A 22,104-nucleotide genomic window follows, 5' to 3' on the forward strand; every position below is an offset into this window, starting at 1 on the left:
ATATGAGTCAAATCTTCTAATACAAACATTTCAAATTATGAAAATACCAAACCAAAGAGTATTTTTGAAAATGGCTTGGCCCAATTCTGGGCAAACTTCCATTTTCTTATGCACTTTCCAACAAACTAAAAGCCTTATGAAAACACCACCAAATGCTTCTCACCTCCGTGCAGCAAAACTAAAGACATGCAACAAACACAATTTTCTTTTCCCTCCACTCAGCATCTGCTTTTGTTGCTGATTTTTCACATTTCTACAAATGTCACGAAGGCATGGTGGCCTTTAAAACAACTGAACGGACCCCCATTCAAGACTGCATGCCCCTTGACTTGTAGTCACCATTAAATTGGCTTCATTTCCAGGAATCAGGCCATATTTAGGATTGTACCTGTGCAGATTTACCTCCACATTAATCTCTACATGCTATCTACTAAAAACTTAGGCAAGGAAATGCATCAGACCAAACACCCCACAGCACAGAGAACCGACCGGCCATTGCTTTCCAATCTCCGCAAACCTAACCATTGCTGGAAGAAATCTTACTCACAGTGCACAGACAGTAGGTATTTTATTGAAGATAAACATATAGTGGAACAAACCAAATTACCCCCATTTGAGTTACGTGAGCACTCAGTTCTCAGCGTGGATGTCCCACAAATCAAGTCAACATTTGCGTCCCATTACCAGCAGCCACTTGCCGAGTATCTCTTCGCTTCCACTGGGACTGCCTGGCATCCCTGATGCTAAGGAGCCACTGAAGAGCCTCCAAATGTCTGACATTCACAAACGCATCTTTTGCTTTGACCCGACCCTTCAACCTCTCCGAGTCTGCTGCCTTTTCTCAGACACACATCCAGGCACCGTTAGGGATAGTTAGAGAATCTGAAAATTCAGAAGCGCTCCGAAAAGCCTTTCCAAAAGTAATCCACAGCACTCAACAGTGAATTTAGAAACCCCAATTTTTTTCTGAGTTTGAAGTTTTTAAGCCTTGCGGATGGTTGGAGTAGGAAAAAGGAAATTTACTAGGCAGTGCAAAGGAAATCTTGTTGTCCTCTATTGTGGCAGTGGGGGTGTTGCCCAACCCTAACTTATCTGCCTTGATAAAGGAAACCAAAGAAAAGAGTAACAAGAACAAGATTTTGTCAAATTAAAAGGAACCCTTTCCTTACCTTAATAGTGCTGGCCATAATGCGATCAAGTTTATTGATCGTTAATAAATGTTAATAATAATTATTGCTTCTCTCTGACCAGAAAGTAGTTTTGATGAGGTTGTTTAGAGCGGATGAGATTGTGCTAAGTCTGGGAAATGAAGTCAGCCAATGGCAGGAAGAGGTTTCTATTGGTCCTGGCTGTCCAGCCCAAAGAAACAGGATATTTGGGAGTGGAGAGATAAGAGACCCTGAAAACAATGTTGTTTTTCTTGATGATATGCAGCCAGGAGATTTTTTTTTTTTAATTAAAAAAAGAAAAGGCATCAATTGGGATGGGGACTGCCACAGCAGGTGTGACCGGTGTGCCGCCGTGTGACACACTGCACTGAGACCAAGGCAGGATGCAGATGTGATGGGACTCCGCATGGCTTCACACGGGCTGCAAGCACCTTGGAGCCAAGGCGTTGAGGGCACCCCACTGCCCTGGGTGTCAGCCCTTCGCAGCCCAATTCTTCGCAGAATTACTAGGACAGAGGACTTGAGCTCCTTTCTCCTAAAAGGAAACTTTGCAGGTGGAGTTTATTTCATGTTAATAGATGGCCATGTTCAGTAACAGCCATTGCCTGGCTGATTTTTAACAACCTATATTTATTCAACATTTCATATAAGTGTTCCAGAACAGTTTCATTTTCTCCTTCCAAATACCTGCACTTTTTATTTGCTCTACAACAAAGTTGTTGAAAACGCAAGGACTCTAGGCTTACAGTAAACACAAAAAATAAAGAGGAAAAATAAACCTTCCTAAGTCTTGTTTTCAAGTATTTATTAAAACCCAAATAACTGAAGTGACTACAAATGTCCCGGAATATCAGTGAGCTGGTCTCACTCTGACAGACATCCATGTTGCAGACAACAGATCCTCATAGAACTTTTGGCTACCCAGAGATGCCATGTGAGGGCCCCATTACATGTCTAAAATCCAAGCTATAAGTTCAGGGTCACAGGTCTGTTTTCTCCTCGAAGGAAGTACAGCGAATGCAGGCCTGAACATTCCTTAGAGGGTTTCAGGACTTTAATTACTCATTTTCAGGAAATTGCTTGGAAGAAACATTTTGCTTTGAATCTAGCTACAGGAACGCAGGACCCATAAAGAGGTGTGGTCTCAATAGGCGACCCCAAGAACACAATAGACTAAATCCTGAGTCATCTGACAATTCCTGGTTGCAGAGCTGGACGTTCAGTAAATGGATTTCACTCAGACTTTAGGCCGGCATGTGTCAGAGTTCTGTCCACCAGCCCAGGTCATTCTGGCTTTTATTATATACCTCTGATTTATCACCTCATGTTAGGACAAAAGAAGGAGGAGAAGGAGAAAGATAAGGGGGGAAAGGGAGAGGAAGGAGAGGAGGAGGAGGAGGGAGGGAAGAGGGCGAGAAAAAATGGAGAAGGAGAAAGGAAGGACAGAAGAGAGAGAGAAAGGAAGGAGGATGGGAGGAAGGAGGGAGGAAGGAAGGAGAAAGGGAGGGAGGGAGGGAAAGAAAGAAGGAAAAGAAAAGAAAGAGAGTATATTGTAAGAAAATCATTCTGTGGAAATCAGAACCTAAGTTCTCAGCACCTACATTATGAGGGGGTGTTGATTTCCGCTCTTTTCATCTCTGAACAATGAATAAGATGGCAGGCTGATTAAAATTCTGTTTCCCCGAAAATTTCAAAGTCCTGAGCTGTTTTATCTGGGCAGCTTCCACTAGAATTCTGGAGTGCGGAGGAGAAAAGCTCTCTCAGCTTCCCTGAGTGTCCTTGCTTTTTGTTCTCTCCTAAGAAGCATCAATGTAAAATGTTAACTGTGGCCTCCACAACACATGGCACCTGATTATGCCTTTACCAAACACCAGCTTTAAATAAGATGAACGCTTTGCTAATGAAATAGCCACGGAAGAAAATCCTGTGTGGTCCCGCCTCACCCACGCCTCGTGGTTGCTAATCCAGCCCTCAGTTGTTCCCTGCAGCAGGAAAGATCAGCATTTCTACTGGGACCTAATGCTTCAGTGATGATTTGGCCTTAACTCCCTGGTTCTTGCCTAATGCAAATCAAACTGTGAAGAGTGGGATTTCTTACCTCTCTATTTTGAAATAATTTCCAACTTACAGAAAAGCCACAAGATAATACACCAAACTCCTAATACCCTTTGCCTGGTTAACTCTGATTGTCTACTGGTGCCAATGTACATCATTTTCTCTGCTTTCTCTCACACATGCTCTCTCTCTCTCAATCTCTGTCTCTCTCTCCCATATTTATTTATGTATAACATACATGCATGCATATATCCATCATTTTCTAACTAATAAAAATATTGTTTTATAAGAGACAAATTTATTTATTGGATACTAAAAAAGAGAAAAACAGATGCTATTATTTGATCAATATTCGATCCATAAGTTTTACTGCGTCTAATTTTGGAAATGCATACAAACATAAAAAGTGATCTAATAAAAAGTTAATTTGGGGATACTGAGTGGTAAATTCTGTTCCAAAATTTTACAAAGGAAACTCCTCCTCATTTCTAATGACAAAATGTTTGATTGATTCCTGTTGTCTTCAAAGAGAATAATTCTTGATGTTTCAAATGGCATCATAGCATCCAAGCCTGGTAATCTCTGACTATTTAATGTAAAGTGTTTTAAAAAAATCTTTGGCTCTTGATAGGACAAGGCACATCTTTTTTTTTTTTTTTTTTTTTTTTGGGACGGAATCTTGCTGTCGCCCAGGCTGGAGTGCAGTGGCGCGATCTCGGCTCACTGCAAGCTCCGCCTCCCAGCTTCACGCCATTCTCCTGCCTCAGCCTCCCGAGTAGCTGGGACTGCAGGCGCCCGCCACCACACCTGGCTAATTTTTTTTGTATTTTTAGTAGAGACGGGGTTTCACCATATTAGCCAGGATGGTCTCGATCTCCTGACTTCATGATCCACCCGCCTCAGCCTCCCAAAGTGCTGGGATTAAAGACGTGAACCACCACGCCCGGCCAAGGCACATCTATTAACTAGAATATAGCAGTGCAGAAACCGTTTCCCAAATATTATCCTATGGGGAAATTATCTGAAGATATAGATATCACTCTAGCTTTCCTCACTTGTACCCCAAGTCTATGTTATTAAATGGCCTCATCCCTACACCACCCAGCAGCCTAAGAACCAGGCTGCCTTTCCCACCTGATACCTCCTCTCCCTAGGGAAATATGCCCTCCAAGCCACCACGCGGACCAAGTTAGGGGGCAATCTGGCACACGGCCCCTACCTGAGGCCCGTCCTGCCATGAGCCTATCAGGGCAGGGTCCTTTTTCACTCTCCTTGAGATGCAGTAATCACCACACTAGACCAGCACAGCCCATACAGTAGCTGTGGACAGCAGAACCTATGAATAAAGCACACATTTCCCTTGCATGCTTCTCTGCCACAAACCCATCCCCTGTGAATCTGCCAAAACCTTCCACTAGTCTCCTCACATTTTACTCCAAAGAAAGAAACAAAATAATATAACATAAATATACCATAAATTCACTGTCACAATAAAAGAAACACTAGTATTTATTTATCCTAAAATCATTTCTTCCCATTTTCTAAAGATCGAACAAGTTCTCATTCTTGTTCCCTTACTAACTTCTCTGTATGGAATATGGGGAGGAAGGTTAGGAGCTAAGAACACTCTGAATGACAGCCACATGGTTCTCAATGTAATACATGCGCAGAGCAAAGAGAGGAGATCCGTCTGAACCTCCACATCTGTGGGGACACAACAGAAGATTCACTCATGACTCATTCACGTCTTTATCCCTGCCCTATACATCCCTACAATGGAACGCCCTTCCTCCTCAAAAACATTGCAGGAAAATGATGTCGTAGATGAACACTTAGCAATATGGAAAACTGCTCTGATATTTTACCTGGTTAGTTAAAAAATCACAGTATATAGGAGAATTATATCCATAGACTCATTTTGTTAAAAATAAAAAGGCAGTTGGGGATGGCCGTGCATTCTGTTCCAAAGCATCTGTGAACCTGAGGAATAGACACCATGAGCGAAGCTAACCTTCCCGAGTTGAAAAATGAAATGCAATGGTGGCAGACATGTCCAAGGAATATTATGGGGACTCGATCCCTTTATGAATCTTGTCATAGATGAATGTGTGGAGATGTCAACTAGTTGGCAGCAGAACAGTATTGGAACGGTGGTAATACAAGGAAATAGTATCATCATATTAGAAACTTTGGAATGAGTATAAATAATGGCTGTTCAACAGAAAAACCCATGTCCCCTCTCCAAAGGGCCTGTTTCACTATATGTAAAAATTAGGTCATGTATGTTTTCATATTAGACTTTTTGTTAAATAACCTTTTTTTTTTTTTTTTTTGAGTCTCACTCTGTCGCCCAGGCTGGAGTGCAGTGGCGTGATCTCAGCTCACTGCAAGCTCCGCCTCCTGGGCTCATGCCATTCTCCTGCCTCAGCCTCCTGAGTAGCTGGGACTACAGGTGCCCGCCACCACCCTGGCTAATTTTTTGTATTTTTAGTAGAGACAGGTTTTCACCATGTTGGCCAGGATGGTCTCGATCTCTTGACCTTGTGATCCACTCGCCTCAGCCTCCCAAAGTGCTGGGATTACAGGCGTGAGCCACCACGCCCGGCCAATAACCTTTTGTAATAGTCAAAAAATAAAAAATAAATAAAAAGGCAAAGTAAAAATATTGACAGCTATATCTTATAATACCAATGGCAGAGAAGCTTTTTGTTTTTTCCCCTCTTCTTCTTTGGTTCACTTATATTTTCAAAACATAAATTTGTAATAAACATAAATTATATCCTAATATAAAAATATGTAAGTAACATGCAATGTTGTTCATTTTTGTAAATATCTGAAAAATACAGGCATGTTCTGTAAAAAGTGCAGCCCACAATACTTGTAGGTGTCAAACCTTTTAGCATGCCCAAATGCCTGTTCTTTTTTAAATGTCTACAGCAAGCATAGAGCTCTTTTTTTTTTTCATTTTATTAAGAAAACCCAGAAACGCTCAAGAGTTTCGTGGAGGCCATCTATGCGGCATTAATCCATTCAGGTGATATTAATGGCCTTTTCCTGCCAGGAACTCCAGTGGGCACTCAGGAAGCCAGGATTACAGGGCTCTATCCAGTCACCGCATGTCTCGGCATTCGGGAAGCCTATCTCAGTCTCCTCAAATTCTGCACACATAAAACTTCAGAGCCTGGGAGCGACCCATGAAACGCAGGTTTTTAAGGACAAAACAATAGGACAAAAGTGCTGTATATTGTCCTTAAGATGACACATGAATTTAAAATGCATAGTGTTTGGATTATTCATGAGAGCCCCGCAAGAACGATGTCCCAGGGGTTTTTGCCAGGAACATGCCTGAGATTGTAGATAAGAATCAAGCATCTGGGGCTGCCGCACAATGGAAAACTCCAGCACTCCATGGAACTTTTCCATCTGCAGCAGTCGGAGGATTTGCCTGAGAACATACGCGGCATGAAGACACTCTCAGCCCTCAAGGGCACCCAGTCAGCGCTGTTTAAGGACGGTTTTTCTGTTCACAGCATACTTCATGATTACAGCTTCACTCCATTGGATACAACTATGTGAGTATGTGTGTATGAGTGTGTGAGTGTGTGTATGAGGGTGTGTGTGTGGGGGGGTAGGGGAGTGCCATATCCCCCAGCAGCACATTAAGAAATAATCCAATTACAATTTAAATAACCATTGTTTCAACACTTTCTCTAAGTGGTGAATGTATTCTTCAGTCTCTTGGTTGATCTGAACTAATAGAAACCAAGGAAACTGTTATCACATACCAAATCCTCAACTTCTCAACACCAAGTTGCAATTTCCTTAATACTGAAGCACACGTCAGTTCAGTTCTATAAGCTCCCATGGAGCAATGATTTCAATAAACACAATTTCATAAGCATCCCACACGTTCTCAAGTTTAGGCCAATTTTGCTCTTACTCAACTCCATATGACTTTAAAAATGCAGGAATATTAAAACCATTATCAAGGACTCCAAATAGGTCAATGTATTATCTGTGGTTTTAAGAAAGAAACCTAAGAGGAGAGTAATTATTTTGTCACCATTATTTAGCTTAAAATAACTTTTAAATGTATTGTTCCAATTATTAGGCTTCTCCATATAATTTGGAAACCATTAAATGAGTTTCAACTTCTTTGTCCGTATAACTGGGTATATCTGAGCATAGATGCTACAGACATCACGTTGCCATTGGTGCCCATAAGGCTTCGTATGCCCACAGGGCATATAATTAAGATTCACAAAAGCATCTGACTGGCATCCCACTCTACCCCCGACTCAGATCCAAAGTATCCTTTCCCAGGTACTGTCCCCTGTCACCATCCTTGGCCAAATTGAGAATTTATCCCAGGTTGTTGAAATTAATTTTGATTTTGATTCTAGTCAGAGTTTTAAATGATTTTTTAAGAAGTGTGTCAATCTCACCTATAAGATACTAAACAGCATCACTTATTTTTGTCTTAATCTGTCACTATTTTATGAATTATTTTTAAAGAAAATACAGATTACTTCTTAAAGAAAGATCATAAGTGGCACTATAATAGCATTCAATTGATAGAAATTGATGTAGAAGCCTGCATTAATAATTTTTCCTGCTGCTTTCTAAAGTTGGCTTTTAGTTTTCGGTTGAGGTGGGCTTTAATTCAGCATCACCTCATTTGATGATTTATTTACTAATTTATTTCCATCACAAATGGAATCAGAAATGAAGCGAAGGCAAAAAATCTTTGCCACAAATTCATTTATATTTGCATGAGTATCACCAGGCTACCTGCGGATGCAATGAAGCCCTATACCCGTGCCTGAAGTCAGGAGCACAGGACACTGGGAGTCTGTCTCAGCGCAGTAACTGCTACATGGTACGCTCCACATGGTATCCTCTCCACCTGAGCCCTCCTCATCCCTCGCCCCCTCTCCACACCTCACCCTCTCCACACTGTATTATCTCCCACTGCAAGCAACGCAGAGGACACAGAGGTGCAGCTGAAGTGAAGGCAGGCCAGTTCTTTTCCAATTCACTCTTATGAAAATGTGTTAAATCCCGTTAAATGCACCGACCTGAACTGAAATGATGATATCAGTAAATTTGTTGTTGTCATCTGATGCCCACACAGATCTCAGCACATGTTTTGGGAAAGGCTGCAGTGTTCAAGGAGTACTAGAAATGTTCTTTCTGAGTGGACTGGCCATGATAAGCCAAAGAATATTATAGCCGATAGGGATAAATCATGGTTTTCCCACTGCGCGGTTGCCTGGTGGAGATTATTCCAGCCTTTATTTACAGCTACAAAAATAATCCTGCCTCAAGGATTTTAGGAAGCAACCACCTCCTGCCTAAAGAACTACACTGCATTGTTGACTTGCCAGCTAGAAACCAGACATGAGTCGTGCAGGGAAGTTCCCTTTGAACGGCTTGAATTGTTGTCACTAGAGGGTGCTAAATGCCCCTCAAAAAGGCCTTTAGAGAGAATACTAGTGTGCCTAATTCTTGATTTAAATTCCTTGAATTGACATTATTTTACAAAGTGGTCTCATTTTTTACTTGTTAAAATTAAGATCTAACATTTATAATGCAGAAATGGTGTTTTTTTTTGAAAAATTTGGATTGTTCATTATTATAGAACATAAAGAAATACACGTTTTAGGAGCAAACATGAATTACACAGATCTGAATATAAGATTAAAGGCATAAATCTGGGGGGGTGAGATTTGTCCATGGAAATTGTATAATTGTTTTATGCCACTGTTAATGATTTTAAAGCCTGAAAAATTTACCACTTTACAATAATTTTAGATTGTTCAATATGTTCCCAAATGTGAGTTGCATCAAATTCGGTAAATGTAGAGTATGTTTGTTTTCTCTGTACACAATACTGACGTCAGTGCTAGTGCCTGCCTAAACTCAGACACCAGTAGATCCTTTTCCAGAACTAAGTGTTATAGGAGGAATATGGATTATACTGTAATATATCAGATGTGAAAAAAGCCTCACGGTCCCTTCCTTTCTCAAAAAAAACGTGTAGTATTTTGGAATATGCATGGAGTATAGCACTTCTAAAAATGGTACTTTATGTATATATGAAGTAAAATAGGCCTTAAAACTTAATATACAGATTTCCTTGAAAATAATCTTATTATACATTTACACTGACTTTTTGGTCATCCAAACATTATGCACTTAAGCAAAAAGAAATATAACCAATTTTGCAACTTTCCTCTTCCTGCCTTTGCTTCTACTTAAAAATATCTGCAGTATTTCCTTTTCTCGCCGCTTCCACTTTGGTTCATATACCAAGGAATCGTGAGGTCAATGGGTGACAGTTGTTTGTCTGTGTTCACGGCTGTCGGGCGGGGCTGGGTGTGGGTAAGGCTCTGACCGACATCTGAAGAGGCTTCACCCACTGCGGTTTAGGATACATTTTCCTCTCGCTCTGCCAGTAGAACAGGGAGGCTAGTTTTCAATGTGTTCTACAGAAGGATAATTAAGGCAGTGTGTCACCTGCTCGTCTGCTATTTTTAAAAGGAAACAAACATAACCTTTGCATGTGAGAGGCATTGCAAACTAGATGGGAGGAGGCCCGGACCCTGTAACAGTCGTACATTCCGGTCCCAGCTTCGCTGGGGTGCAACTGCAGATAAAAGACGCTGGCTCGACAAAAAGCGCCCCTGGGCTCTGCATTGCCAGCATGCACAATACGAATTGCTAATGATGAGCTGGCTTAGGTAGGAACTGAGGACCCTGAGTGCAGGGCTAACCTCTGCTTCACAGGAGGGGTCCACTGGCGCGCGCTGGAGGCGGGGAGCCTTCGTGATATTTCTCCGAAGGGAAGAGTCCATGCAGCATCCTGATAACAGGGACCTTGGCTTCATCCCCAACTGCTCGGTGACCCCGATGCGTCATTTAATTCATTTGTGCCAATATTCCTTTTTCAATCAACCAGTAACTTTGCAGGTTTGTTCAAAGAAGAAATTAAAATGCATTGGAGATGGAAGGCAGCCATCTTCCCGGAGCCCCAGTGCTGACACTGGGAGGGGAACCCCAGGATTCCCTCATGACTGTGTCAGTGATGGCCCTCAACAAGCACTTACTGAATGAGTGAATGAATGAATGAATGAATGAATGAAGCCGGCCACAGAGCCCAGGAGTATCAGGGGAGAGCAATACTGGCTGTGTCAGTGGCTAGTCCAGGAGAGCCCTTCAAGAGCCCAGAGTTCGACTTGAACTTGGGACTCCCCTGGGATGGGTGAGGTTCTCTCAACAGCAGTTGACAGGAGGGAACTGGGACAGGCCCAGCCAGTTTCATTCAGTCCAGCCAGCTGTGGCTCCTCTTTAGGAATGTGGCCAGGCCCAGCTGTGGCCAAAGCACCAGCCAGTCCCTCAGTTCTGAACAGAACGTGCCCAGCATCAGTGCCTTCATTTGTTTTTAAACTGCCTGCTGACCATCCACAAAGTTAAGATGACAGCTGGGACTTAAGTTGTGAGGAACCAGTGGCTCCCCCATCACTCTCTCTCACACACACGCACATGCACACACACAGAGACACACAGACACACACACATGCACACACACAGAGACACACAAACACACATGCACACAAAGACAGACACATATAAACACACATATACACACATGCACACACATATATACACACAGACACACAGGCAAACACAGACACACAATGGATGGTATCGATATCTATGAACAGATGAGAGAGAGAGACAGAGCAGGAGGTCATCTGCTCCCCACCCCTCTTCTCCCCACTGTCACCACCTCTCTCCCAAGTCTAGCTGCAGGCCCTGTGAGCTGTGGAAGTGGCTTTTTTAAGCTGTCTTCTTAGATTGAGTCATTGGGCAGTGAGGAAGGTAAATTTTCTCTAAGAAGCCTCCCAAATCTGTATCTTATGGGATTTCCGTCTCAATAATTGAGCTAATAGTACCTGTAAGCAAGTGGATAGTCAATAAAAAAAAAATACCGGCTGTAAGAACGAATGAATGAATGAGTGGATGAGTGGATGAGTATACATCCTCTATTTTGCTGGCATCATGATTATTTTACAGCAGATTTATCTGGATTTCAATATAAAATAAGAGCTCCCATTTGTATACAACTTAGTCCTTGTAATTTTCCAAAGTAACTCTGATTAAAATTATTTCCAGCCAAACTATTTAGGCAACTGGGTTGGTTTCACACGTACTTATCAGAAACCATTAGAATGGTATATTGATTGCATTTCTAGACATTTGCCATACCACCATGGCAACTGTATTTCCCAAGATGGCCCAGTAGGATGTCCCATCATGCATAACCTTCTATAAAGTGACATTGACTTTGCTTCCATCAGAAAGTGAGGTCCACGTTCCCACTCCTTGAATCTGAGTTGGGCTGTGACTACAGCAGAAGTTCAGCTATGTGGCTTCCAAGGCTACCTTGGAAAGGTGATAGAGCTTCCACCTGATTTTCTTGGGAACAGCCACTCTTAAACCTCAGCCACCATACGGGGAGAAAGCCCAAGCCATGTGACGAGGCCATTTGTAGGTGTTCCAGTCATCAGTCCCAGCCCACAGCCAGCATTAACCCCCAGAGGTATAAATGAAGAAACCAAGATCACTCCAGCCCCAACCGGCACTTGACTGCAAACCTATAAGAGACTCCAAGCAAATAATATCTATCTCAGCCCAATCAAGCCCTGGAACCATGAGAGATTCTAAATAATAAAGTGATCATTGTGATTTTAAGCCACTGAGTCCTGCAGTGAGTTGTTATATAGCAACCGGGCATCGGCATACCATCAGAAGATTCCTTAAGAAGAAACTTTTGCAACGTTGCTACAGCAGAAAATATTCCTTCTGTATGATCATTCATCCATTCATCAATCTTGATTGGCATTGCCTATGTGCTAAGCATTGTCGGTCACTGGAGGTGCAGAAAAGAAGTGAAGCAGTATTCAGCCAAACAAACAACTTGCATATTGGATAGAGAGAAAAATATGCCAAAATTACAACAGTATTTTGACCCAACAGAAAGGACATAAGAAGGGAACATCAACAGTTCCTTCCTATTCTTTTCCACCCTTTTTCTTTCTAGGCTCATTAAATGTAGAGGTGCCTCAGGGTCACTTTGCCCCATGAGAGTAGATACCCTCCTCTCCCATCCCTAACTTTGGTCTTCACTCTATGCCTGATACCAGCAGCTCCCCAGGCTCCTCCATGCTGTTGGCACCCCATTCCCATTCTCTGGAAACATCTCAGCCCATCAACCTCAGATTACTTTCCCAAGGAGATGTGAGAAAACTTCAATTTTCCCCTTTGTGACTTGCAGAGAAATAGGGGTGGTAAATGAGAAGCAGAGGGAGAGGGTGGGGATTCATTACCTTGAGTTACTAAAGAGAAAAGCTCTAGTGTTTAGAAGGTGCTGTTATTATTTTCTCTGAAACATTAGCTCCTAGAAATCAGAGGCTCTGTCCCTAGCATGGTCTCTAAGGCTTCCAGGACGCCCCAGGGGCTTCCCTCAGTCAATTTTGACTCTAATGAGAGCCATCTGGAAGGCTGCAATGGTGGGCCTGGCTGATCACTGGAGGGGCCTTCGCTGTGGGCACAGGGACGTGCACAGGTTCACAGAGTGTGTCTCCGTTTCTGGGAACCATGGTCCTGTGTGCTCCTTCCCCAAAGAAAGCAGGAGAAAGAAAAACCACAGTCCTGAGTGGGATTCTCCCCAAACATCTAAAAAGCTTCTTTAAAGAAGTCAAGTTATCATAATTAAACTCACATATGGAATGCCTATAGACAACGTGTTGCTCTTCCAATCCCAGGGAGCTAGGACACCCAAAACTCACCTCCCAGACGGAGCTAGGATTTGAGATACTGGATTCCACATTACTTAAAGCTGTTCGAGCTTTTCATCAGGAATGGAAAGCATTAATGCGTCTCACACGTCACTCTCTGTTTCATGGAATTCTTACACTGGGGAGCTCTTTTTATTTTACTATTTTTCTTTAACAGCCAGAACACTGAGAAGTTTGCAAAGAAATTTTTCAGCTGCCTTTAGTGACCCTTAACTCAAGAGGTTTTGCCTAATCTGTAAATTGGAGTTGAAAATATTTCAGTACTTTTGGAGTGGGGAGCTTTTTGTCTTTAAAAGAGTGGAACGACACTAACAATAGGGCTATACATACCTTGTGCTTCTTTGTCAGTTACTGCAAACCAAAACCAGATGTGAAGTATCAGCGGCTACCTCGTAGTGACCCATGGAAGTTGAGGCTAATCCATATCATTCTTAATAACTCAAAACTGCCACCTTTTAACCACCTAATTTTTTTCTCACTTACAAATGCAAAAAAAGGAATTGACAGTACACATTGAAATCGATTTTCCCCTGACCACTTACAGATTTTCTCCTATAAGAGCCAGGAATAAAAGCTCACTCCATTATATCAAGCAGCCATCATCTGAGTATGCTTTAGTTTAGGTGATCATCACCTTTAACAAACCAAGATCTGGAAGGAAGATTTCTGATCTTTAACAAACCAAGATTTGAAAACTAGATATTCCTGTCATGACCTTTTCCCAACATTCAGTATGTAAGGGATTCACTGGATTATTAGACTGCTTGTAAATGTAAGAAAACATAGAAGGTTTAGTGTGAAGGAGTTAGCAACCTAACAAATGTTTCCCCCTGAATTTTCAATAACCTTCCTGAATTTAAAGGTAATGAATATAAATGAAGAACAAAATCAATAGATATAGGAATGATTCACAACCTCCCAAATGAATAAATCAATCATTCCACCCTACATTTGAACATTCAATCAATATTTTGTCTATTTACTAAATCTAAGAGGAACTACTTTAACATAAAACTAAATATGAAATTATTTCCAGCATTGAATATTGTGTTTTGCCTTAGAGCAGGCACAAAGTGGAATGCCTATGGGTACAAAGCTAGGCATTGATTGATGTTTAATACCTACAAATACAGCAATTACACTGTCATGCTACACGAGACTTCCTATTCCTACACTGAAATTAGACTGCACATATGTAGGGATAAAAGATAAGACACAATCATATCATATTTCCTCAAATCTAAGACTTTGGGTGGTAAGATGTAAAGCACATCATGATTTAAAGTATCACTAGGAAAGAAAAAACAATTCTGCCAATGAAAATTCACCGTAATACTTTCTAATCAATCAATTTTAAGATACATCCCAATTTTTAAGCAAGAATAAATGTGTTAAAATTAACACAAATTGGTACACTTGTGATACAACAGAAGCACTAAAATGTCACAGCAATAGACCACAGGGTTTCTCAACCTTGGCAGCATCAACATTTTGGGTTGGTTAATTATCTGTTGTGGGGGCTGCCCTGTGCATGGCAGGATGTTTGCTAGCATTCCTGGCCTCTACCCACTAGATGCCAGTAACACCTCGCAGACTCCAATTATGACAACCAAAACTGTCTTTAGACATGGCCAACTGTCCCTAAAGGTGCAACCAAAAACTGTCCCAGTTGAGAACCACTGGAACAGAGCAATTCGGTTTTATCAGCCTTGTAATATAATTGTGTGTGTGCACTGTGTGCATGACAGACTGTCAGCCTAATGGAAGGTATATTGTCAGATGGGATAGATTGACCTGAAAAAATCACATAAACCAACAGCTGGTACATATACAAGAGTGTGTCCTGCCCATCCTAACCCACACAATGCAAAAGAACCTGGATGACCACGAGTCACCATCACAGGAGTTTACTATCCATAAGTGTAAACCATCCAAGAAAAGTGAAAACAGATTAAAGAAAATAAAAATAAATAAACCACCACACAATATTTGGGCCTAGCCAGATAACAACAATGAAAAAATGTAATATTTTGAAGTATTGGCAAGAATGTGGAGGAAAAAGCATTGACATTCGTGTATAATGGGAATAAAATAATTTATCCTTTGTCTCCGCAATTGATATTCTAGAAATCTATTTTTTAGAAATACTCACAATAGACAGTTATAAGTACAAAGGATGTCTGCTATTACACTGCTCAGTAACAGTAAAATATGAAAATACACTGTACGTCTTTCAATCAGATATTGAATAATTATACTACACAGTATTAAGAATGAGATAGATATTAATGTACTGCATAGAAAATATTCAAAGTATAATAAGTTTTAGAAAATTATCACATATGTATATTAGCATATGCAGAGAAAACATCTTAAAATACAAATTTCAGTTTTGAGGTTTGGATCATGGAGTAACTGCCCCCTTTTCAAGTCAAACAGTTGAGAAAATTTAGGATAAAACAAGTGTGTGCTACCTTTGTAATCAGATAAAGTATTTTAAAATAATTCACATTATAATATAGAAATACTGAAATGCCAAGAAAATTTAAATATATTAATTAAAACCTACGGGCCAGGCGCAGTGGCTCACGCCTGTAATCCCAGCACTTTGGGAGGCCGAGGCAGGCGGATCATGAGGTCAGGAGATTGAGACCACCCTGGGCAACATGGTGAAACCCTGTCTCTACTAAAAATACAAAAATTAGCTGGGCATGGTGGCGTGTGCCTGTAATCCCAGCTACTCAGGAGGCTGAGGCAGGAGAATCGCTTGAACCAGGGAGTCGGAGGGTGCCGTGAGCCAAGATCATGCCACTGCACTCGAGCCTGACAACAGAGTAAGACTCCGTCTCAAAAAAAAAAATAATAATAATAGGCTACCAATTAGACTTTATAGAATACATAAATATATTAATATAGCTACAAAGAGGTTGAAGCTTATTCATTGAGACAAGAGTATTTATTGAGCATCGACTTTATTAAATACACTGTTAGTAAGATAACAAGTGAAACTTGTTAAAAAAAAAGAAACTAGGACAAAAGAAATTTGAGTTGAGTTCCCCAAAAACAGGGAATATTCAGATTGTAGGGGAAATTGGGTAAAGGATTTGTTTCAGCATGAAAGGAGCAAGGAGCAAAGAAACTAAATGGGAGGTTATGCTGAGAAGTATATCAGTATGAGGAAATATCTTGACATCTACAGACAAATATTTGTTGCCAATTCATTTTGGGCATTGAGGATTCACAAGAATAATTAAAAACACGTAATATAAAATCCTTCTGATTAGAGCACATTTTATGGCACTGCATAAAGAGATGGCTGTGGGAGTCATTTATATTTTAATACTAACTTGAACAAGGCTTGGTTCTGCAAATAAAACAGAAGAGTAAATATGAAGTGGAGCACATAATAATGTTACTGTTTCTGTGGGTGAGCTTCCATAGGAAAGAGGCAAAGGCATCAATCTCAAAAAGTTAGAAAAACCCAAAGAAAGAAGAAGAAAAATAACAAATGAGAACAAAATTGAGAAAATTGTAAATAATATGGTAGAGAAGATAAACAAAACCAAATCTGGTTCTCTGAAAAGATTAGTTATGTGTAAGTCACTGGTGATTACAGAGAGAAAAGAGGGAAGGTTAAAATAACCAAAGTCAACAATAAAAAGGGGGCTATTACTACAGATGCTGTAGACATTGGAAGGATAATAGAATATTATGATCAATTTCCTATCAATAAATGTGAAAAATTAGTTGAAATACATAATTGGAAAATATAATTTACCAAAACTGTCAAAAGAAAAAACACAAAACCTGAACTCCTATAATTATTAAAGACATTGATTGAAAAATCTCAGACCTCTTAAAGGACAACTCCAAAAATAAAAAAATAAAAAAAAGAAAGAAAGTTCCAGGCCAGACGGATTTATCAGCAAATTCTAACATGCATTTAAAAAAAAAAGGATGCCACTCTTACATAAGCTTTTCAGATAAAAGAAAAGAAAGCTTGATACCAAAATGTAGCTAGAAAATTATTTAAAAAGGAAAATTATGGGTCAATTTCATACATAAACATAGATGCAAAATCCTAAATAAAATTCTAGAAAACAAAACCCAACAGTATATACGACAATAATATATATTGTGAACAAACTGGATTTATTTTAAGAATGAAAGCTTGTTTCAATCAAATAATCAAATTTACATTGTAAAGAAAATTTATATAACTTTAAACAAAAGAAGAAAAGCACTTAATAACATTCAACATTCATATTAAAAATTCTTAGTAAATTAGAAATAAAGAGGAAGTTTATAAATCCTACAAATTGATAAAAGGAATCTACCGAAACCTACAGTAAACCACACATTTTCATGTCAAAACTTTAAAATTTAATCATTTGAAGTTGGGGGAAAAGACAAAGAAGCCCCACATATTACCGCATTTGTCTGAAATTGAATTGGCAGTCTTAGTTAGTAAAGAAGGCAAGGAAATGAAATGCAATGTTAAAGGATTGGGAAAAAGTAAATAAAACTTTATTTACAGATGACATCATTTTTTTACACAGAATTTCCAAGAGAATTTGGAAATAAGTCATTAGAATTAATAAATGAGTTTTAAAAGTTTGCTAGATACAAGGTCAATATAGAATTTTAGTTTTATATATCAGCATAAACATCAATAGAAATCAAAATTTTTAAGTGATACTGTTTTCATTAGCATTAAAAATACCTTACAATATGGACATAAATCTAACATAATACGTGCAGAACCTCTACACCAAAAACTACAAAATATTATTAAAAGAAGACCAAAATAAATGGATAGATATATTCATGGATTGAAAAACTTAATAATCAAAGGTAGAATTTTCTTCAAATTGATCAATAGATTCAATGCAGATGCATTCAATATTTCAACAAAGTTTTTGTGAAACTTGAGTGATTCTAAAATATGTATGGAAATGCAGAGTCAAAAACAGACAAGATGCTCTTAAAGAAGAGTGAGAAATACAAAAGATTATCAGAGACTATTACAAACTGGAAAACCTAGAGGAAATGGATACATTTCTGAACACATACAACCTGCCAAGATTGAATCAGAAAGAAACTGAAAACTTAAACAGACCAATAACAAGTAATAAGATTGGATAGGAAAAAAAATCTCCCAACAAAGAAAAGTCAAGGACCAGATGGTTTCACTACTAATTCTACCAAACTTAGAAAGAAGAACTAATACCAATCCTCACCAAGCCATTTCAAAAAATTAAAGAGGAGAGAATTCTTCCTAATTCATTCTATGAGGCCAACATTACCCTCATAACAAAATCAGACAAGAACACAACAAAAAAGAAAACTACAGGCTGATATTCCTGATGAACATCACTTCAGTTCAGCATGGATACAGGCCAATATTTCTGGTGAATATAAGTTTTCTAGTATTTTGTTCAGCAAAAGCTATCAACAAAATATTAGTAGCCTGAAACCAACAGCACATCAAAAAGATAATGCACCATGGTCAAGTGGGATGTATCCCAGAGATGCAAGGATGGTTCAACATACACAAATCAATAAATATGATACATCACATCAATAGAAAAAAACAAAAACCATATGATCATATCAATAAATGCAGAAAAGGCATCTGATAAAACTTAACATTGTTTCATAGTAAAAGCTCTCAACAAACTAGGTACAGAAGAAACATACCTCAATATATTAAAGTCCATACATGATTAACCCACAGCTAACATTATACTGAACGGGGAAAGGCGGAAAGTCTCTCCTCTAAGAACTGGAACAAGACAAGGATTCTCATTTTTATCACTTCTATTCAATATAGGACTGGAAGTCTTAGCCAGAGCAATCAGGCAAGAGAAAGCAATAAAGGTCATCCAAACTGGAAAAGAAGTCAAATTGTCCCTCTTTGGAGATGACATGATCTTACATCTAGAAAAACCTACAGACTCCACCAAAAAACTCTTAGGTTTAATTAAAAAATTCAGTAAAGTTGCAGGATACAAAAAAATCAGTAGCATTTATATACCCAATAATGCACTGGCTGAGAAAGAAATCAAGAAGAAAATCCCATTTACAATAGGTATAAGGAAAAAATATCTAGGAAAAAAATTAACCAAGGAAGCGAAAAATCTCTACAAAAAAACTACAAAACACTAATGAAAGAAATGGAAAAGGACACAAACAAATGAAAAGACACTGCATGGTCATGGATCAGAAGAACTAATATCATTAAAATGACCACACCACCCAAATAAATCTACAGATTCAATGCAATCCCTGTTAAAATATTAACGTCATTTTTCACAAGAATAGAAAAAAACAATCCTAAAATTTATATGAAAGCAAAAAGGAGCCTGAATAGCTAAAGGAACCCTGAACAAAAACAACAAAACTGGGAGCATCACATAACCTGACTTCAAAATATATTACAAGGCTCTAGTAACCAAAAGAGCATGATACTAGTATAAAAACAGACGCATAGACCAATGGAACAGAATTGATAACCCAGAAATAAATCCACATATTCACAGCCAACCGACTTTCAACAAAGGCATCAGTAACATACATTGGGAAAAAGACACCCTCTTCAATAAATGGTGCTGGAATAATTGGATATCCATATGCGAAAGAATAAAACTGGACCTCTATCTCTTGCCATATATAAAAATCAACTCAAGGTAGATGAAAGACTTAAACTTAAGACCCCAAATTATAAAACTATTAAAAGAAAATAGAGAAAACATTTCAGGACATTGATCTAAGCAAAGATTTGATGGCTAAGACCTCAAAAGCACAGGCAAGAGAAAACAGACAAATGAGACTATATTAAACTAAAACACTTCTGCACAGCAAAGGAAAGAAAACAACCAGCAGAGTGAAGAGACAACCTGTTGAATGGGATAAAATATTTGTAAACTGTTCATCTAGTAAGAGAAAATCCAGAATATACACAAAACTCAAACAACTCAACAATTAAAAAGAAAACTTTTACAAAGTGGGCAAAGAACGTCAATAGACATTTCTCAAAAGAAGACACAGGAATGGCCATCAAGCATATGAAAAAAAATACTCAATATCACTAATCATCAGGGAAATGCAAATCAAAACCACAATGAGATATCATCATACCTTAGTTAGAATGGCAATTATTAAAAAGACAAAAAATAACAGATGCTGGCCAGAATGCAGAGAAAAGGGAACTCTTCTACACTGTGAGTGGGAATGTAAATTAGTACAGCCACTATAGAAAACAGTAGAGATTTCTCAAAAAACTAAAAATAAGACTCAATATAATCCAGATATCTCACTACTGGGTATTTATCTAATGAAAAAGAAATCAGTATATCAAAAAGATACTTGCACCCACATGTTTACCGCAGCACTATTTACCATAGCAAAGACATGAAATCAACCTAAATGTCCATCCACAGATGAAATGGTAAACAAAATGTGGTACATATACACAATGGAATACTATTTGGCCATAAAAATAAGGAAATCATGTCACTTGCAGCAACATGGATGGAACCGGAGGTCATTATGTCAAGTAAAATAAGCCAAGCACAAAGGACAAATACCACATGTTCTCACTCCTATGTGGGAGCTAAAAATGTTAATGTCATGGAGATAGAGAGTGGAATGATGGTTACCAGAGGCTGAGCAGAGAGTGGGAGTGGAGAGGAAGAGAGTTTGGATAATGGGTACAAACATACAGTTAGATAGAAGGAATAAGTTCTGATGTTGTATAGCAGAGTAGCTGACTATACTTAACAAAAATGTATTGTATAGTTCAAATCAGCTAGAAAAGAGGACTTGCAATGTTCCTGACACATAGAAATGAGAAATACCCAAGGTGACAGACACCCCAAAACCCTGACTTGATCATTACACATTCTATGCATGTAACAAACTATCACATGTACCCCATAACTATGTGTGTGTGTGTATCTATCTATCTATCTATCTATCTATCTATCTATCTATCTATCTATCTATCTATTTATAGTATCCATTTTTAAAAGGCAAATCTTAAAAAAAAGAGTGAGGTAGGACAACCTGCTCTACTAAACATTTTTATAAAGGCACAGCAATTAGGTCAGAATAGTGTTCATGCAGGTAGAAACAAATCAGACAATGGAAAAGAAAGGAAAGTTCAGAAACAGATTCACACATATATGGACACACTTGATTTTTGACGAAGGTGGCAGTTGATTTTTTTTTACAAAGGGGCAGAGTAGTTAAAAAAGGGAGAAACTGTTGGTAAATGATGCTGGAAAATGAGAAATCCACATGAGAAACAGAAACTTGAGAAGTAACTCATAACATCACAAAAATTGATGTCAGATAAACTATAAATCTAAATATGACAAGCAAAAACTATGAAGTTTCTGGAACATAATATAGAAAACTATATTCCTGACTTGGGAAGGGAAAGATTTTAAAAACAAGGCACAGAAACACTAAGAGTAAAGGAAAGACTAATAAATTGAACTGCATTAAAATAAGAAAAAAATTAGGAACTTAAATTTTCATCAAAAGACACTATTAAGAGAATCAAAAGGCAATGCATGGAGTGGAAGATGATATCTTTAACACATCTAATCTACTATTCATATCCAGAATATGTAAAGAACCCCCATCAATCAATAAGAATACACACAAGTCAGAATACACACAAGGAAAAACAGGGAAGAAACTGCACAGGCAGTCATAAAAGAGGATATCCAACTGCTCATTAAAAGGTCTTCTACTTCATTAGTAAAGCAGGAAGTACAAATTAAAACCTGAATGAAATAACACCACAGATACATCAGAATGTCTAAAACAAAGACTAACAATGTTGGTGAAGATGTGGAGCAATAAGAACTCTCACACACAGCTGGAGTTTAAAAAACATCCTTATTTATCCATCAGGGCTGTAATAAGAGGCATATAGCATATTCAAATAGGTAAGTGAACAAAATTTAATGAAAGAATTTACAACGGTAAAGGTAGAATTTAGTAAA

The 22,104-nt window shown here is 38.8% G+C and overlaps 1 protein-coding gene, 1 long non-coding RNA gene and 1 pseudogene across 13 annotated transcripts in view, besides 8 other annotated features; 2 read left to right on the plus strand and 1 right to left on the minus strand.

Moving 5' to 3' along the window:
• The window catches only part of ERG (ETS transcription factor ERG), a 294,523-nt gene that overhangs the window by 129,933 nt on the left and 142,486 nt on the right, over positions 1-22,104 (minus strand). For 2 of the 10 annotated variants that reach the window (NM_001331025.2, NM_182918.4), the window contains exon 1: positions 1,170-1,284. The exons of 7 other annotated variants lie outside the window; for them this stretch is intronic. In NM_001331025.2, coding sequence (NP_001317954.1) covers positions 1,170-1,187 — 18 coding nt within the window. In that variant the 5' untranslated portion in view covers positions 1,188-1,284. Of the gene's footprint in view, positions 1-1,169; positions 1,312-22,104 lie in introns of those variants that run through there. One more of the 10 variants, NM_001136155.1, reaches the window with a different exon arrangement.
• Positions 1-22,104: part of a mitotic recombination region, noted in NCBI's record as "ERG recombination sub-region recombines with the TMPRSS2 recombination region. This represents the genomic range from 26 different ERG genomic breakpoints.", that runs on past both edges of the window. NCBI's record gives the evidence for it as "EXISTENCE:nucleotide sequencing assay evidence [ECO:0000219][PMID:23447416]".
• Positions 4,916-4,917: a mitotic recombination region, noted in NCBI's record as "case 31 ERG recombination sub-region, recombines with the case 31 TMPRSS2 recombination sub-region". NCBI's record gives the evidence for it as "EXISTENCE:nucleotide sequencing assay evidence [ECO:0000219][PMID:20601956, PMID:19363497]".
• On the plus strand, positions 5,165-5,543 carry SNRPGP13 (small nuclear ribonucleoprotein polypeptide G pseudogene 13; annotated as a pseudogene).
• LOC105372802 (uncharacterized) overlaps positions 6,625-22,104 on the plus strand; it is a 39,782-nt gene continuing 24,302 nt past the window's right edge. For 2 of the 3 annotated variants that reach the window (XR_937712.3, XR_937711.3), the window contains exon 1: positions 6,625-6,796. This is a non-coding gene — a long non-coding RNA (uncharacterized LOC105372802). Of the gene's footprint in view, positions 6,797-11,587; positions 11,982-22,104 lie in introns of those variants that run through there. The other variant, XR_007067864.1, reaches the window with a different exon arrangement.
• Positions 9,884-10,384: an enhancer, noted in NCBI's record as "NANOG-H3K4me1 hESC enhancer chr21:39879001-39879501 (GRCh37/hg19 assembly coordinates)". NCBI's record gives its function as "activates a minimal SCP1, AML or CMV promoter by ChIP-STARR-seq in naive H9 embryonic stem cells {active_cell/tissue: H9 hESC(naive)}" and the evidence as "EXISTENCE:reporter gene assay evidence [ECO:0000049][PMID:30033119]".
• Positions 10,278-10,279: a mitotic recombination region, noted in NCBI's record as "case 3 ERG recombination sub-region, recombines with the case 3 TMPRSS2 recombination sub-region". NCBI's record gives the evidence for it as "EXISTENCE:nucleotide sequencing assay evidence [ECO:0000219][PMID:20601956, PMID:19363497]".
• Positions 11,326-11,327: a mitotic recombination region, noted in NCBI's record as "LuCap93 ERG recombination sub-region, recombines with the LuCap93 TMPRSS2 recombination sub-region". NCBI's record gives the evidence for it as "EXISTENCE:nucleotide sequencing assay evidence [ECO:0000219][PMID:20601956, PMID:19156837]".
• Positions 11,526-11,527: a mitotic recombination region, noted in NCBI's record as "case 16 ERG recombination sub-region, recombines with the case 16 TMPRSS2 recombination sub-region". NCBI's record gives the evidence for it as "EXISTENCE:nucleotide sequencing assay evidence [ECO:0000219][PMID:20601956, PMID:19363497]".
• Positions 13,275-13,437: a protein binding site, noted in NCBI's record as "region showing enrichment for dihydrotestosterone-dependent DNA topoisomerase II beta binding, near the case 24 TMPRSS2 recombination sub-region". NCBI's record gives the evidence for it as "EXISTENCE:chromatin immunoprecipitation evidence [ECO:0000226][PMID:20601956]".
• Positions 13,504-13,505: a mitotic recombination region, noted in NCBI's record as "case 24 ERG recombination sub-region, recombines with the case 24 TMPRSS2 recombination sub-region". NCBI's record gives the evidence for it as "EXISTENCE:nucleotide sequencing assay evidence [ECO:0000219][PMID:20601956]".

This window comes from Homo sapiens, chromosome 21 (assembly GCF_000001405.40).
Source record: "Homo sapiens chromosome 21, GRCh38.p14 Primary Assembly".
NCBI lineage: Eukaryota > Metazoa > Chordata > Mammalia > Primates > Hominidae > Homo > Homo sapiens.